The sequence below is a fragment of the Homo sapiens genome, chromosome 14 (assembly GCF_000001405.40).
Source record: "Homo sapiens chromosome 14, GRCh38.p14 Primary Assembly".
Taxonomy (NCBI): domain Eukaryota; kingdom Metazoa; phylum Chordata; class Mammalia; order Primates; family Hominidae; genus Homo; species Homo sapiens.
In genome coordinates, this window is record NC_000014.9 from 30,401,645 (window position 1) to 30,418,164 (window position 16,520).

Below are 16,520 nucleotides of genomic sequence, written 5' to 3' on the forward strand. Positions count from 1 at the left end.
CATAAAAAACCCTTCCAAAATCTAGTGGCTTAACACAACAACAATTTATTATTTCTCACAATCTCACTCATTCAGCCTCAGTTAACTGTAGGAAGATCCTGGAGGGTCTCACTCACATGCCAGGGTGGTTAGCTGGGTCTCTGTCACCACAAGCTCTTGCCTGGGCCTCTCTGCATGGTGATTTCAGGGTTCTACGAGGGCAAGAGTGGAAGCTGCCAGGCTACTTGAGGTCTTGCTTGGAAGTCAAAAGTCACATAAATTCATTAGAACAAGTCACCAGACCAGCGCAGAATCAAGAGGCAAGGAGATGTATTATTCCTCCTGCTGGGAGGAGAGGCAGAGTACTTGTAGCCATCTTTAATTCACCGCAGTCCCAACAGTAATCCCCAAAATGAAGACAGCTGGTTATTATCATTTGTCTTTAACGATGAGGAAACTGAGGTACGGAGAGGTACATCAATATAGTATAAAGCAGTGTCACTTTGAAAATGGACTGCACTCCAACACCACTAATATGAAAATTCTCAGATCCCACCCCAGGCCTACTAAGTTAGTATAGAGATACTATCTCCATACTATGTTATTACTATAATAATAGAGATACTATAGAAATAGATACCATAGTATCATTCCACAATAATACAGATGCTATGCCTAGGAATAGATACCAGGAATCTGCACATTAATAAACTCTTTAGGTGACTCTTATGCACCCTAGGGTTAGAGAAGCAGTGATACCAGAACAAATGAATTGGAAGTGAGTGAAATAACACTTGTGGTCCAGCCTTGCCACCTGCTAGCAGGGTGACCCTAAGTAGATCATGTACCCTTTCAGAAGTTCAGTTTTTCTTATAGGAAAAAAAACTGCTAATAATATCTGCTTTGCCTTCTCCAGCAACCTAATATGAATATCAAGAGATGTTGCATGGAAAAGCAGGCAGTGCAATAATGATGAATATGGTAATATTGTCCAAGATTAAATAATGTATTAGTAAGAGAATTAAGACTAAAACAGCTGATTTTCTGGTCTTAAATCTCTTTAGGAGCAAACACTAACTGGGCCAGAAGCTTTTCAGCCTTTCCTAGATCTTCAGAGCTACAGCAAACCGCAATACTAATTACAAAGAGCAGGCAAGGAGTCAAGTGTGATGTGCTTTCAATGAAATAAAGAATCCCTTTTCTCTCCTCTCTTCTTCCTCTGTGGCACAGACCACTTCATTCCCTAAACAAGCTCACAGACCATCACAGCAGGGCATGGCCATCTTCCTTTTCATGGGAAAGGATTATTGAGTGGGAAGTGCTCAAGATGAGTGAGTGTTACTGGGGAGTAGGAGGTGGAGTGACAATCCTGGCCTAGATTGTGTTTTTCAAGTTTGATGCATGTCAGTGAAATGGCATCTACAGCCTGCTGAAGCTTTTGGAGAGTCAGAATTTGAGAGCTTGTGGGTGAGAAATTGCAATCTCTCCCTGATTATTCACCTCCTCCAATCTATATGTTTAATTCACCCACTCTCAATCTAATCTTCCCTGCAAGCAATTTTCTAAATTTCAAAAAGCTGGTTGCTGTCTTCTCAACTGTCTCCATCTTCCTCAAACTCAGCCTAATGTAGAAAGGAGGTTGGAAAGTTTAGATAATTCCCTCATCCTACTTAACCATAAACCTAATTTTCCAACCGAGAAAAAAGGTGATGTATCCAGGCATTAAAAAGAAGTACCACCTATTGAAAAAAAAGGCAGCATAGATTTCCTGGGTTCAAAGCCTAGCTCCAACCATCCTTTAATGACCTTTGGCACTTACTCTGTTCCTTTCCTCTTCTTTAAAATGAGAATGATGATTATAACACAGAAATATTATAAGAACAATGTAAGTTAATACATACGAAGCCCTTAGAGCAATGCCTGCCACATGAAATGACATGGAGCATTATAGATATTTCTACACCGTACTAGATTACCACAGCAACTGCCTATCTGGTCTCCCGCTTTTAATTTTTCTTTGCATCTCATCCATCCTCCTATGATGAACCTTTCTCAATCACTGTTAAGTCCTCCTTCCCCCAACTTAAATAATGTATTACCCATTGCATGCACTACAAACTCCCTGGCTTACCATTTAAGATACTCTTCTCATCAGTCCCTTTAACTCTATTCAACCACATTACCCAATATCTCTACAACGCAGTTTCTTACCCTCAGTGCTATTGAAATTTGGGGCTAGATAATTCTTTGTTGTGGAGGGGCTGTTCTGTACATCTCATCAGGGATGTTTGGCAGCATCCCTGCCTCTACCCACTAGATGCCAGGAGCAACCTTCAACTGTGACAACCAAATAAGTTTCCAGATATTGCGCAATGTCCTCTAGGAAATAAAAATCTCCACCTAGCTGAGAATCACTGCTCTACAAGACCCATCTCTATTGCTACGCTTTCCTTATCATTTCTGAAATGTGCCTGAACCGATCTCATTTAGGTTCCTTTTCTCAAATAATGTTACTTTTTTAAATTTGGCATAATATACATAACATAAAATTTACCATTTTAAGTGTACAGTTCAGCGGCATTAAGTACATTCACGTTGCTATGAAATCATCACCACCATCTATCTCCAGAACTTTTTGATCTTTCTAAACTGAACTCCTTACTCATTAAACAATAATTCCCATTCCCCCTTCTTCCAGCCCCTGGCAACCACCATGCTACTTTTTGTCTCTGTGAATTTGACTACTTTAGGTATCTCTCAGAAATAAGCATCATAGGATAGTTCTTTTCATGTCTGCTTTATTTCACCTATAATAATATCTGCAAGGCTTATCTGTATTACAAAAGGTGTCAAACTTTCATTCTTTTTTGTTATTTATTTATATTTTATTATATTTTAAGTTCTGGGATACATGGGCAGAACGTGCAGGTTTGTTACATAGCTATACACGATCCATGGTGGTTTGCTGCACCCATCAACCTGTCATCTACATTAAGTATTTCTCCTAATGCTATCCCTCCCCTATCCCCCTACACCCCAACAGGCCCCGGTATGTGATGTTCCCTCCCTGTGTCCATGTGTTCTCATTGTTCAGCTCCCACTTATGAGTGAGAACATGCGGTGTTTGGTTTTCTGTTCCTGTGTTAGTTTGCTGAGAATGATGGTTTCCAGCTTCATCCATGTCCCTGCAAATGACATGAGCTCATCCTTTTTTATGGCTGCATAATATTCCATGGTGTATATGTGCCACATTTTCTTAATCCAGTCTATCATTGATGGGCATTTGGGTTGGTTCCAAGTCTTTGTTATTGTGAACAGTGCTGCAATAAACATACGTGTGCATGTGTCTTTACAGTAGAATGATTTGTAATCCTTTAGGTATATACCCAGTAATGAGATGGCTGGGTCAAATGGTATTTCTGGCTCTAGATCCTTGAGGAATCACCACACTGTCTTCCCCAGTGGCTGAACTAATTTATACTCTCACCAACAATGTAAAAGGGTTTCTATTTCTCCACATCCTCTCCAGCATCTGTTGTTTCCTGACTTTTTAATGATCTCCATTCTAACTGGCGTGAGATGGTATCTCATTGTGGTTTTGATTTGCATTTCTCTAACGACCAGTGATGATGAGCTTTTTTTCATATTTTTTTGGCTGCATATATGTCTTCTTTTGAGAAGTGTCTGTTCATATCCTTCGCCCACTTTTTTCTTGTAAATTTGTTTAAGTTCTTTGTAGATTCTGGATATTAGCCATTTGTCAGACTGATAGATTGCAAAAATTTTCCCCCATTCTGTAGGTAGTCTGTTCACTCTGATGGTAGTTACTTTTGCTGTGCAGAAGCTCTTTAGTTTAATTAGATATCATTTGTCAATTTTGGCTTTTGTTGCCATTGCTTTTGGTGTTTTAGTCATAAAGTCTTTGCCCATGCCTATGTCCTGAATGGTATTGCCTAGGTTTTCTTCTAGGGTTTTTATGGTTTTAGGACTTACGTTTAAGTATTTAATCCATCTTGAGTTAATTTTTGTATAAGGTGTAAGGAAGGGGTCCAATTTCAGTTTTCTGCATATGACTAGCCAGTTTTCCCAACACCATTTATTAAATAGGGAATCCTTTCCTCATTGCTTGTTTTTGTCAGGTTTGTCAAAGATCAGATGGCTGTAGATGTGTGGCGTTATTTTTGAGGCCTCTGTTCTGTTCCATTGGTTTATATGTCTGTTTTGGTACCAATACCATGCTGTTTCGGCTACTGTAGCCTGGTAGTATAGTTTGAAGTCAGGTAGCGTGATGCCTCCAGCTTTGTTCTTTTGCTTAGAATTGTCTTGGCTATATGGGCTCTTTTTTTGTTCCATATGAAATTTAAAGTAGTTTTTTCTAATTCTGTGAAAAAAGTCAGTGGTAGCTTAATGGGAATAGCACTGAATCTATAAATTACTTTGGGAAATATGGCCATTTTCACAAGATTGATTCATCCCATCCATGAGCATGGAATGTTTTTCCATTTGTTTGTATCCTCTCTTATTTCCTTGAGCAGTGGTTTGTAGTTCTCCTTGAAGAGGTCCTTCACATCCCTTGTAAGTTGTATTCCTAGGTATTTTATTCTCTTTGTAGCAATTGTGAATGGGAGTTCACTCAGGATTTGGCTCTCTGTTCGTCTATTATTGATGTATAGGAATGCTTGTGATTTTTGCACATCGATTTTGTAACCTGAGATTTTGCTGAAGTCCTTATCAGCTTAAGGAGATTTGGGGCTGAGATGATGGGATTTTCGAAATATACAATTATGTCATCTGCAAACAGAGACAATTTGACTTCCTCTCTTCCTATTTGGATACCCTTCATTTCTCTCACTTGCCTGATTGCCCTAGCCAGAAGTTCTAATACTATGTTGAATAGGAGTGGTGAGAGAGAGCATCCTTGTCTTGTGCTGGTTTTCAAAGGGAATGCTTCCAGCTTTTGCCCATTCAGTATGATATTGGCTGTGGGTTTGTCATAAATAGCTCTTATTATTTTGAGATATGTTCCACCAATACCTAGTTTATTGAGAGTTTTTAGCATGAAGAGGTGTTGAATTTTATCAAAGGCCTTTTCTGCATCTACTGAGATAATCATGTGGCTATTGTTCTTGGTTCTGTTTATGTGATTGATTGTGTTTATTGATTTGTGTATGTTGAACCAGCCTTGTATCCCAGGGCTGAAGCCGACCTGATCGTGGTGGGTAAGCTTTTTGATGTGCTGCTGGATTCAGTTTGCCAGTATTTTTCTGAGGATTTTCACATAGATATTCATCAGAGATATTGGCCTGAAATTTTCTTTTTTTGTTGTGTCTCTGCCAGGTTTTGGTATCAGGATGATGCTGGCCTCATAAAATGAGTTAGGGAGGAGGCCCTCTTTTTGTATTGTTTGGAATAGTTTCAGAAGGAATGGTACCAGCTCCTCTTTGTACCTCTGGTAGAATTCAACTGTGAATCTGGTCCTGGGCTTTTTTTGGTTGGTAGGCCATTAATTACTGCCTCAATTTCAGAACTTGTTATTGGTCTATTCGGAGATTCGACTTCTTCCTGGCTTAGTCTTTGGAGCATGTATGTGTCCAGGAATTTATCCATTTCTTCTAGATTTTCTAGTTTATTTGCATGGAGGTGTTTAAAGTATTCTCTGATGGTAGTTTGTATTTCTGTGGATCAGTGGTGATATCCCCTTTATCATTTTTTATTGTGTCTATTTGATTCTTCTCTCTTTTCTTCTTTATTAGTCTGGCTAGTGGTCTATCTATTTTGTTAAACTTTTCAAAAAACCAGCTCCTGGATTCATTGGTTTTTTGAAGGGATTTTGTGTCTCTATCTCCTTCATTTCTGCTCTGATCCTAGTTATTTTTTTGTCTTCTGCTAGCTTTTGCATTTGTTTGATCTTGCTTCTCTAGTTCTTTTAATTGTGATGTTAGGGTGTCGATTTTAGATCTTTCCTGCTTTCTCTTGTGGGCATTTAGTGCTATAAATTTCCCTCTAGCTGTGTCCCAGAGATTCTGGTATGTTGTGTCTTTGCTCTCATCAGTTGCAAAGCACTTATTTATTTCTGTCTTATTTTCGTTATTTATCCAGTAGTCATTCAGGAGCAGGTTGTTCAGTTTCCATGTAGTTGTGTGGTTTTGAGTGAGTTTCTTAATCCTGAGTTCTAATTTGATTGCACTGTGGTCTGAGAAACTGTTTGTTATGATTTCCATTCTTTTGCATTTGCTAAGGAGTGTTTTACTTTCAATTATGTGGTCAATTTTAGAATAAGTGCCATGTAGTGCTGAGAAGAATGTATATTCTGTTGATTTGGGGTGAAGAGTTCTGTAGATGTCTATTAGGTCTGCTTGATCCAGAGCTGAGTTCAAGTCCTGAATATCCTTGTTAATTTTCTGTCTCATTGATCTAATATTGATGGTAGGGTGTTAAAGTCTCCCACTATTATTGTGTGGGAGTCTAAGTCTCTATGTAGGTCTCTAAGAACTTGCTTTATGAATCTGGGTACTCCTGTATTGGGTGCATATGTATTTATGATAGTTAGCTCTTTTTGTTGCATTATTCCCTTTACCATTATGTAATGCCCTTGTCTTTTTTATCTTTGTTGGTTTAAAGTCTGTTTTATCAAAGACTAGGATTGTAACTCCTCCTTTTTTTAATTGTTTTTATTTTTTGATTTCCATTTGCTTGGTAAATATTCCTCCATCCCTTTATTTCAAGCCTATGTGTGTCTTTGCACATGAGACAAGTCTCCTGAATACAGCACACTGATGGGTCTTGACTCTATCCAATTTGCCAGTCTGTGTCTTTTAACTGGGGCATTTCGCCCATTTACATTTAAGGTTGTTATTGTTATGTGTGAATTTGATCCTGTCATTATGATGCTAGCTGGTTATTTTGCCCGTTAGTTGATGCAGTTTCTTTATAGTGTTGATGGTCTTTATTTGGTATGTTTTTGCAGTGGCTGGTACCAGTTTTTCCTTTCCATATTTAGTGCTTCCTTCGGGAGCTCTTGTAAGGCAGGCCTGGTAGTGAGACAAAAATCTCTCAGCATTTGCTTGTCTGTAGAGGATTTTATTTCTCCTTCGCTTACAAAGCTTAGTTTGGCTGGATGTGAAATTCTGGGTTGAAAATTCTTTCTTTTTAAGAATGTTGAATATTGGCCCCCACTCTCTTCTGGCTTTTAGGGTTTCTGCAGAGAGATCTGCTGTTAGTCTGATGGGCTTCCCTTTGTGGGTAACCCGATCTTTCTCTCTGGGTGCCCTTAACATTTTTTCCTTCATTTCAGCCTCGGTGAATCTGATGATTATGTGTCTTGGGGTTGCTCTTCTTGAGAAGTATCTTTGTGGTGTTCTCTGTATTTCCTGAATTTGAATGTTGGCCTGTCTTGCTAGGTTGGGGAAGTTCTCCTGGATAATATCCTGAAGAGTGTTTTCCAACTTGGTTACATTCTCCCTGTCACTTTCAGGTACACCAATCAAACATAGGTTTGGTCTTTACACATAGTCCCATATTTTCTGGAGGCTCTGTTTGTTCCTTTTCATTCTTTTTTCTCTAATATTGTCTTCACGCTTTATTTCATTAAGTTGATCTTCAATCTCCAACATCCTTTCTTCTGCTTGATCGATTTGGCTACTGATACTTGTGTGTGCTTCACAAAGTTCTCATGCTGTGATTTGCAGCTCCATCAGGCCATTTATGTTCTTCTCTAAACTGGTTATTCTAGTTAGCAATTCCTCTAACCTTTTTTCAAGGTTCTTAGCTTCCTTGCTTTGGGTTAGAACATGCTCCTTTAGCTCAGAGGAATTTGTTATTACCCACCTTCTGAAGCCTTCTTCTGTCAGTTCATCAAACTCGTTTTCCATCCCTTGCTGGTGAGGAGTTGTGATCCTTTGGAGGAGAAGAGGCCTTCTGGTTTTTGGAGTTTTCAGCCTTTTTGCACTGGTTTTTCCTCATCTTTGTGGATTTAACTACCTTTGGTCTTTGATGTTGGTGACCTTTGGACGGGGTTTGTGTGGTCATCCTGTGTGTTGACATTGATGCTATTCCTTTCTGTTTGTTAGTTTTCCTTCTAACAGTCAGGCCCCTCTGCTGCAGGTCTGCTGGAGGTCCACTCCAGAACCTGTTTGCCTGGGGTATCACCAGTGGAGGCTGCAGAATAGCAGACTGCTGCCTGTTCCTTCCTCTGGAAGTTTTGTCCCAGAGGGGCATTTGCCAAATGCCAGCTGGAGCTCTCCTGTATGAGGTGTCTGTCAACCCTGGCTGGGAAGTGTCTCCCAGTCAGGAGGCACAGGGGTCAGGGACCCACTTGAGGAGGCAGTCTGTCCCTTAGCAGAACTCAAGCTCTGTGCTGGGAGATCTGCTGCTCACTTCAGCGTCACCAGGCAGGAACTTTTAAGTCTGCTGAAGCTGTGTCCGCAGCCACCCCTTCCCCCAGGTGCTCTATCCCAGGTAGAGGAAAGTTTTATCTATAAGCCCCTGACTGGGGATGCTGCCTTTCTTTCAGAGATGCTCTGCTCAGAGAGGAAGAATCTAGAGAGGTAGTCTGGCTACAGTGGCTTTGCCAAGCTGTGGTGGACTCTGCCCAGTTCAAACTTCCAGGCAGCTTTGTCTACAAGGTGAAGGGAAAACCGCCTACTCAAGCCTCAGTAATGGCAGACAACCCTCCCCCAACCAAGCTCGAGTGTCCCAGGTCGACTTCAGACTTAACTGTGCTGGCAGTGAGAATTTCAAGCCAGCAGATCTTAGCTTGCTGGGCTCCATGGGCTTCAGCCCCCTTTCCAGTGGAGTGAACGATCTGTCTCACTGGCATTCCAGGCACCACTGGGGTATGAAAAAAAAAACTCCTGCAGCTAGCTCAGTGTCTGCCCAAATGGCCGCCCAGTTTTGTGCTTGAAACCCAGAGCCCTGGTGGGGTAGGCACCCAAGGGAATCTCCTGGTCTGTGGGTTGCAAAGACCATGGGAAAAGCGTGGTATCTGTGTGACAGCTACATCCCTCATGGCACAGTCCCTTACGGCTTCCCTTGGCTAGGGGAGGGAGTTCCCCAACCCCTTGCACTTCCTGGGTGAGATGATGCCCCACCCTGCTTTGGCTAGCCCTCCATGAGCTCCACCCACTGCCTAACCAGTGCCAATGAGATGAGCTGTGTACCCCAGTTGGAAATGCAGAAATCACCCACCTTCTGCATTGATCTTGCTAAGAGCTGCAGACTGGAGCTGTTCCTACTCGGCCATCTTTGATCTGGGATCCCCAGTTTCATTCCTTTTTCTTTTCTTCTTTTTTTTTTTTTTTTTTTTTTTTATGAGACAGAGTCTTGCTCTGTCACCCAGGCTGGAGTGCAGTGGTGCGATCTCAGCTCATTGCAACCTCCACCTCCCAGGTTCAAGCAATTCTCTGCCTCAGCCTCCCAAGCAGCTGGGATTACAGGTGCCTGCCACCACATAATTTTTTTATTTTTAGTAGAGACGAGGCTTCAGCAGTGCCTCTGCTTTCAGTTCTCTTAGGTATATACCCAGAAGTGAAACTGCTAGATCATAAAGTAATTCTGTTTAATTTTTTGCTGAATCATCATACTGTTTTCCACAGCAGTGGCACGATTTTACTTTCCCACTAACAATGCATTGGAATAACTTCAAGTAACTTCATACCCATTCTCACTGAGTTTTAGTTTCTGTTTTTTTAATAATAGCCATCCTAATGCATATGAAGCGATTTTGATTTGCGTTGAGATTTTGATTTGCCTTTCCCTAATGATTAGTGACTTTGAGCATCTTTTTATGTGTATATTGGCCATTTTTATATCTTCTTTAGAGAAATCTCTATCTAATTCTTTGCCTATTTTTTAATCAAGTTGCTTGGTTTTTTATTATTTGTAGGAGTTCTTTATTTATTTGGAATATTAATCCCATATAAGATACATAATCTGCAAATATTTTCTCCCATGCCATTGATTACCTCTTCACTCTGTTGGTAGGGTCTTTTGATGCACAGATGTTCAAAGTATATTGTTTTAATTTAAAAAACTAAATTAAAATTAAAATTAGATTTTAAATTAAAAACAGAGAGTCCTTGAAAGAGCTGTCCAGCCAGGTGTGGTGGCTTATACCTGTAATCTGAAAACTTTGGCAGGGCCAACGCAGGAGGATTGCTTGAGCACAGGAGTTTGAGATCAGCTTGGGAAAAATAGTGAGACCCCATCTCTACAAAAAAAAAAAAAAAAAAAAAAAAAAGCCAAAAAAAATTAGCCAGGTATGCTGGCACATGCATCTAGTCCTAGCTACATGCATGTGGGAGATATAGGTGGGAAGATGGATTAAGCCCAGGAATTTGAGGTTCCAGTGAGCTATCAACACACTGCTGCACTCCGGCCTGGTGACAGAGCAAGGTGCTATCTCTAAAAATAAAGAAAGAGCTGTCCTCAAACAAACATAAACCTGCAATATGTAATTTAGTACTACCTGCATAAAGCATATATTGATTTTCTGTTACTGCTATAATAAATTACCATAAATTTAGTGGCTTAAAACACTACAAACTTACAATCTTACAGTTCTGTAGGTCAGAGTTCTGAAATGGGTCTTTCAGGGCTAAAATTAAGGTGTCAGTGAGGCTGCATTTCTTCTGGAGGGTCTAGAGGAGAATATGTCTTCTTGCCTCTTCCAGCTCCTAGAAACCAACCATATTTCTTGGCTTATGGCCCCTTCTTCCATCTTCACAGCCAGCAGCTTTGCATTGCTCTCTGACCATTCTTCCATAGCCACATCTCCCTCAGACTCTCATCTCAGAGGAAAGGTTCTTTTAAGAATTCATTTGATGAATTTGGGCTTATTCAAATAATCCAGGATGATCTCCCCATCTCAAGGTCCTCAACTTTTCTCACACCTGCAAAGTTCCTTTTGCCATATAAAGTAACATATTCACAGGTTCCAGAGATTCAAATGTGGACATCTTGGAGACTCCATTTTTCTTCCTGCCACAAAGAGTAAAAAAAATATGAAGCATAAGTAAACCTGGAATTGGTGTTGTTATATGACTTTCTGAACACATTTTCTCTCTCTCATCTCAACTGAGCAGCATGGTAACTGCATCCTCTGGACTTGTGGATGCTAAGTGAATTTCTATAGACTCTCATGACCATCTGCTTTACTGACCAAGATATTTTATGAATTCACACTCTCTTTTCTGGTTTAGAATAATCAATATCAGAAACAGATGGGGTGAAATCTTCTGAAGTTTCTTCATAACTAAAGTTATCATAACTAAAGTTTGTCATACGTGAAACAAAGGAAGTTAGAAAAATCTAGAAAACTTTAAATGCTACCTCCAGATTAAGTTTTAGTATATACACTATAAATATATCCAGTATTCATAGAAAGTATGCTAATTACCTATATAAGTATGTAATAGATGTTCAACCAAAAGTAGACAATGGGATTCTCCCTTAAATATTAATACCCCAGAGATGCCTGGCACTAGACAATAGAGAAAGAGCCATCATATGTAATTATATAGGTTGTTTTCAGCACAAAGTGCCTAAAATCCCTCTTCTGCTCCATCCCTAATCCGTGCCCCCAGGACCATAGAGAAGACGGCGTATTAGTCCATTTTCATGCTGCTGATAAACATACCTGAGACTGGGCAATTAAAAAAAAAAAGAGGTTTAATTGGACTTGCATTTCCACGTGGCTGGTGAATCCTCACAATCATGGCAGAAAGCAAGGAGGAGCAAGTCACGTCTTACATGGATGGCAGTAGGCAAAGAGAGAGCTTGTATAGGGAAACTCCCCCTTATAATACCGTCAGATCTTGTGAGACTTATCTGCTATCACGAGAACAGCACGGGAAAGACCTGCCCCCATGATTCAGTTACCTCCCACTGGGTCCCTCCCACAACACATGAGAATTCTGGGAGCTACAAGATGAGATTTGGGTGGGGACACAGAGCCAAACCATATCAGATGGATAACCTTTTTCCTGGTTTTCACAAAGCTTTTTTTTTTTTTTTTTTTTTTTTTTTTTGAGACGGAGTCTCGCTCTGTCACCCAGGCTGGAGTGCAGTGGCGGGATCTCGGCTCACTGCAAGCTCCGCCTCCCGGGTTCACGCCATTCTCCTGCCTCAGCCTCCCAAGTAGCTGGGACTACAGGCGCCCGCCACTACGCCCGGCTAATTTTTTGTATTTTTAGTAGAGACGGGGTTTCACCGTTTTAGCCGGGATGGTCTCGATCTCCTGACCTCGTGATCCGCCCGCCTCGGCCTCCCAAAGTGCTGGGATTACAGGCGTGAGCCACCGTGCCCGGCCTTCACAAAGCTTTTGTATAAGCTATTGGTGGCCTGACTTGGAGGACATTGGGTAAGAAAGGAGAAACACCCTTAGCAGCTCCTTACTGGGACACACAGTTAGCCATCTTCAGGACCCTAAGAGAGGCTCAACATACACTTTCCAAAGTATTCTAGTTCACGGCCAGCAGAGTATGGAGTAGCCAACAGTGATATATAACTCCTATCCCTAGATATATAGCTGAAATATTCTGTGCAGAGTCAAGCTCACAGTCTCCATATGTAGACATCAGTCTTTCACGGCCTCCACCTTAGCTTCTATCATCCCATTCTATATCCATTTTGGCCAGGTCTACCATGAACTGTTCATTTTAATTCAATGGTCCCTTTACCAACCAATACAGATAGAGCACCAGATATAGCTGCTTTCTGAGAGAAAACATCAGCTTATCTAAAATAGGCCCCAAAAGTGACAAGGGGATCCACCAAAGTAAACCCCACTTACATAAGGCCAATCACTTTTAAGCTTCTCATTTTATCAAAATATATTTGACTAATCTCAACATCAGTCAGTTTAGAACTACAGGCTAGCCACTAAGTCAGGGGACATAGGTTAAGAAATGACTGGTTAATAGTAAAATACATATAAAATAATGTTATTATGTTTCCAGACTTTATTGTTACCCTGTACACAAGCAGAGAGGTAGTGAGGTGGGGTGGGGGAGGAAACAATGAGTCAGAGAGAGAGAAAGATGCATTAGAAACCACCCAGCATAACCTCATATACAAAGATAAAATTCATCATCATCGAAAGAATTCTCTGAGATGCTTTTTGTTAAGAGCCCACAATTTGCTTTTTCCCATGCAAAAATGTACTATTCAAACACTGACAAACAATATCTAAGAATCCCAAGTGGAGATAATGCTATACCATTGGCTTGTCATTCATTTTAAGGACTTTTTATTGTAGAATAGGGAAGAGCTGATAGAAATGATATGGTTCTGTAGAAATAAATATTTTAGTAAAATCACACACATTTCTGCAGATCCATACATTGAATGTCTGTTTCTTTTAGAAAATCAAATACAAATGAATGTTGTTGGAAAGAAATGTATTGGAATTCCTTTTCAAAATCTTTCTTTTCCTTTTGTATACATCTTAGAAGAAATGAAATGCAATCCTTTACAGAGGCAGTGAAGTGAGAGCCTGTCTAATGACTCCAGGATTTTGAGTAAAAGTACACTGTAGCACAATATTCACAACGAACAAATAAAGATGCAGTTTGCAGTCTGCCTGGTTAAGATTTCCAGGCTCGTGTGCAGCCTCTCCCCAGTGTGCGTGGTCATATCTCTAAGCACAGCAGATTTCCTACCCATGTCCTGAGTTTTCTGACCTTCAGTCCTTTGGACAGACTTCCCACTGTCTGTAATCCCCATTTCCCCTTATCAACCTGACAAACTCCCATTTATCAATTAAGGCCCAGCTGACATGCCATTTCTCATTAGTTGCCCTGACCTTTTTTCTGCCTTTTCCTCTACTGTGACTGCAGAATTATTAACTTAGCATTTGTGTTTCCAAGCACTTATATTATGTGTGCTTCTATTACAGCAACTATCACAATGCGTTCTTACTTGTGAATGTGTACATATGCCATCCACCTCTAGGCCTAGCTTCTTCAGGAAACTTTATTCCTCATTTTTCCAGTACCCAGAGGCTAGCACGTTACATGACATAGTTTGGTGAATAGAATTCAATAGAGGAAACGTATAATAAATGAACTTTCTTTTCCCTGAGATGATATCTGTCCCAGAGAATATAGAAATATCTTTACAAGACCAATAATGAGCTTAATGGTACTTAATATCAATTATGTTCAATCTTCAATTTCAGAAATAGCTTCAGTTAGGGTTTTTTTAAACCAATGGCAGTTAAACGAAGATATTAAAGGAAATCTTATTGCAGCAATTGCTCAAGTTGAAACAGGTTTGAGAACAAATCCAATTTAAATACATGCCATTTACTTCTATTTACCTATAGGATGTTTAAAATGGAACACTTTGGGACAGAATTATAAAAGTCTCCATCTTCAATTGTGAGTTGTGATGAAGTCTTTTTTACAGCTTTTCAAACATTATACTGTGGTTGGTTATTCAAAAGTTCAAATTATCACAGATTGTTCCACAGTCATAGATTGCTAACTATAACACTTATTTAAATGAACCTATCCTCTATGGAAAGCCCTGATTCCAAAGGATTAGCTGTTGACTTCCACAAAATGGCACAAATTAGGACAATTTTCCTAGGCCCTCTCTGTACAATTTCATGCTCTTGTAATGATGGCCAGCAACTCAGGGCACCAGCTGATGAAAAGAGGTGTACCTCCTCCAACTGGGGTTTTTTAAACACCTGTGGCTGCAAAGATTTTTAAAATCTTAATACCCAGCTAGTGATGTTATGGAGAAATTAGCATTTTCATAACATTTTGATGAGTTTTGGTAGACCAAAAAAATAACTAGTTTGGAGAGCCACGCCAAGAATATATATCAAGGCCTTTTTTTTTTTTTTTTTTTTTGAGATGGAGTCTCGCTCTGTCGCCCAGGCCGGAGTGTAGTGGTGCGATCTCGACTCACTGCAAGCTCCACCTCCCGGGTTCATGCCATTCTCCTGCCTCAGCCTCCCGAGTAGCTGGGACTACAGGTGCCCGCCACCACGCCTGGCTAATTTTTTGTATTTTTAGTGGAGACAGGGTTTCACCGTGTTAGCCAGGATGGTCTCGATCTCCTGACCTCGTGATTCGGCCGCCTCGGCCTCCCAAAGTGCTGGGATTACAGGCATGAGCCACCGTGCCCGGCCTATATCAAGGACTTTTTAAATGTTCAGATGCTTTCTACTGAATTTTATCCCTAAAACTCTCCCATAAAGATCTCAATGATGCCAGACGCAGTGGCTCATGCCTGTAATCCCAGCATTTTGGAAGGCTGAGGCAAGAGGATTGCTTGAGGCCAGAAGTTTTAGACCAGCCTGGTCAACATAATGAGACCTCGTCTCTACAAAAAAAAAAAAAATTTAATTAGCCAAGCATGATGGCACGCACCTGTAGTCCCAGCTACTCAGTAGGCTGAGGTGAGAGGATTACTTGAGATCAGAAATTTGAGGCTACAGTGAGCTATGATCACACCACTGCACTCCAGCCTGGGTAACAGATTGAGACCCTATCTATAAAGAGAGAAAAATAAAAAATGAAAGGATCTCAATGGTGATGTTTCCAGGTGCTCTCTGAGTCCTTGCTGCATGTAACACTTATTTCTTTGTGCCATTTGTTTTCTGAGAGCAAGTTCATCTTCCATTTACCCAAAAGATCTCAAAGCAGTGCCTATTATTTATGCGGTTGTCATGGCTGCTTTTCTGCTGGAGTCAGTTTTTCTCTCACTTGAATGGTTATGCAAGAATATTAGTCATTATTTGAATAACTTGGTCATATTTTCTTGCATTTATAGAATAACATATTCTGCTCTGTATCATTTGTAGCAGCAAACATAAAACCAGGTTTGATTTCAGAACAAATCCAATTGAGTTGTTCAGCTGATGGCATTTGGGGGAAAAGAAAAAAACTAGACTTGGAAACTGTCCCTCTGTTTTTAAATTGTTTAACCCTTTATCAAAGGAAATCTTACACATATGTGAAAACAAATACTTGTCTTAAAAAGCAGAGCATATGTGATGGGAGAAGAAGTCAAGAGCACTAGATACCATGATGGTCCCACCTCATTCCCTCCCCTGCTGCCTGGCCTCCTCTGAACACAATATGAAAAACACTGTCCCATTGTCTGTAAGTTCTTTTTTTTTTTTTTTTTTTTGTGACAGAGTCTCACTCTGTTGCCCAGGCTGGAGTGCAGTGGTGCAATCTTGGCTCACTGCAATGTCCACCTCCCGGGTTCAAATGATTCTCCTGCCTCATGTCTGCAAGTTCTTGATTGAGAGTTGAAACATTCTGGTTTTGGTTCTCTATATTTGAGTACAGAGAACTTTCATCTCAAACAGCACTTCTTGTATAGAGACCAAGAAGAATGCATAAATGGACACATTCAAGTATGTATTGCTTTTATTTCCCATTATTTGAGTTCTTAAACAAAAATGCTATTTTCCCTGATGCATAGTTTCACTCTCTCCAGCAGTTTGGGTCTTCTGAAATGCTTGCTCCCCTTTCCATGTTATGAGAAAAAAAGAACAGAGCAGGGCAAAGATTTCTGTGGTC

General features: G+C 40.4%; 1 long non-coding RNA gene across 3 annotated transcripts in view; it reads right to left on the minus strand.

Annotated features, from left to right (window-relative positions):
• LOC112267868 (uncharacterized) overlaps positions 1 to 16,520 on the minus strand; it is a 96,358-nt gene that overhangs the window by 23,465 nt on the left and 56,373 nt on the right. For 2 of the 3 annotated variants that reach the window (XR_007064108.1, XR_943707.2), the window contains one exon: positions 9,846 to 10,956. This is a non-coding gene — a long non-coding RNA (uncharacterized LOC112267868). Of the gene's footprint in view, positions 1 to 9,845; positions 10,957 to 16,520 lie in introns of those variants that run through there. The other variant, XR_007064106.1, reaches the window with a different exon arrangement.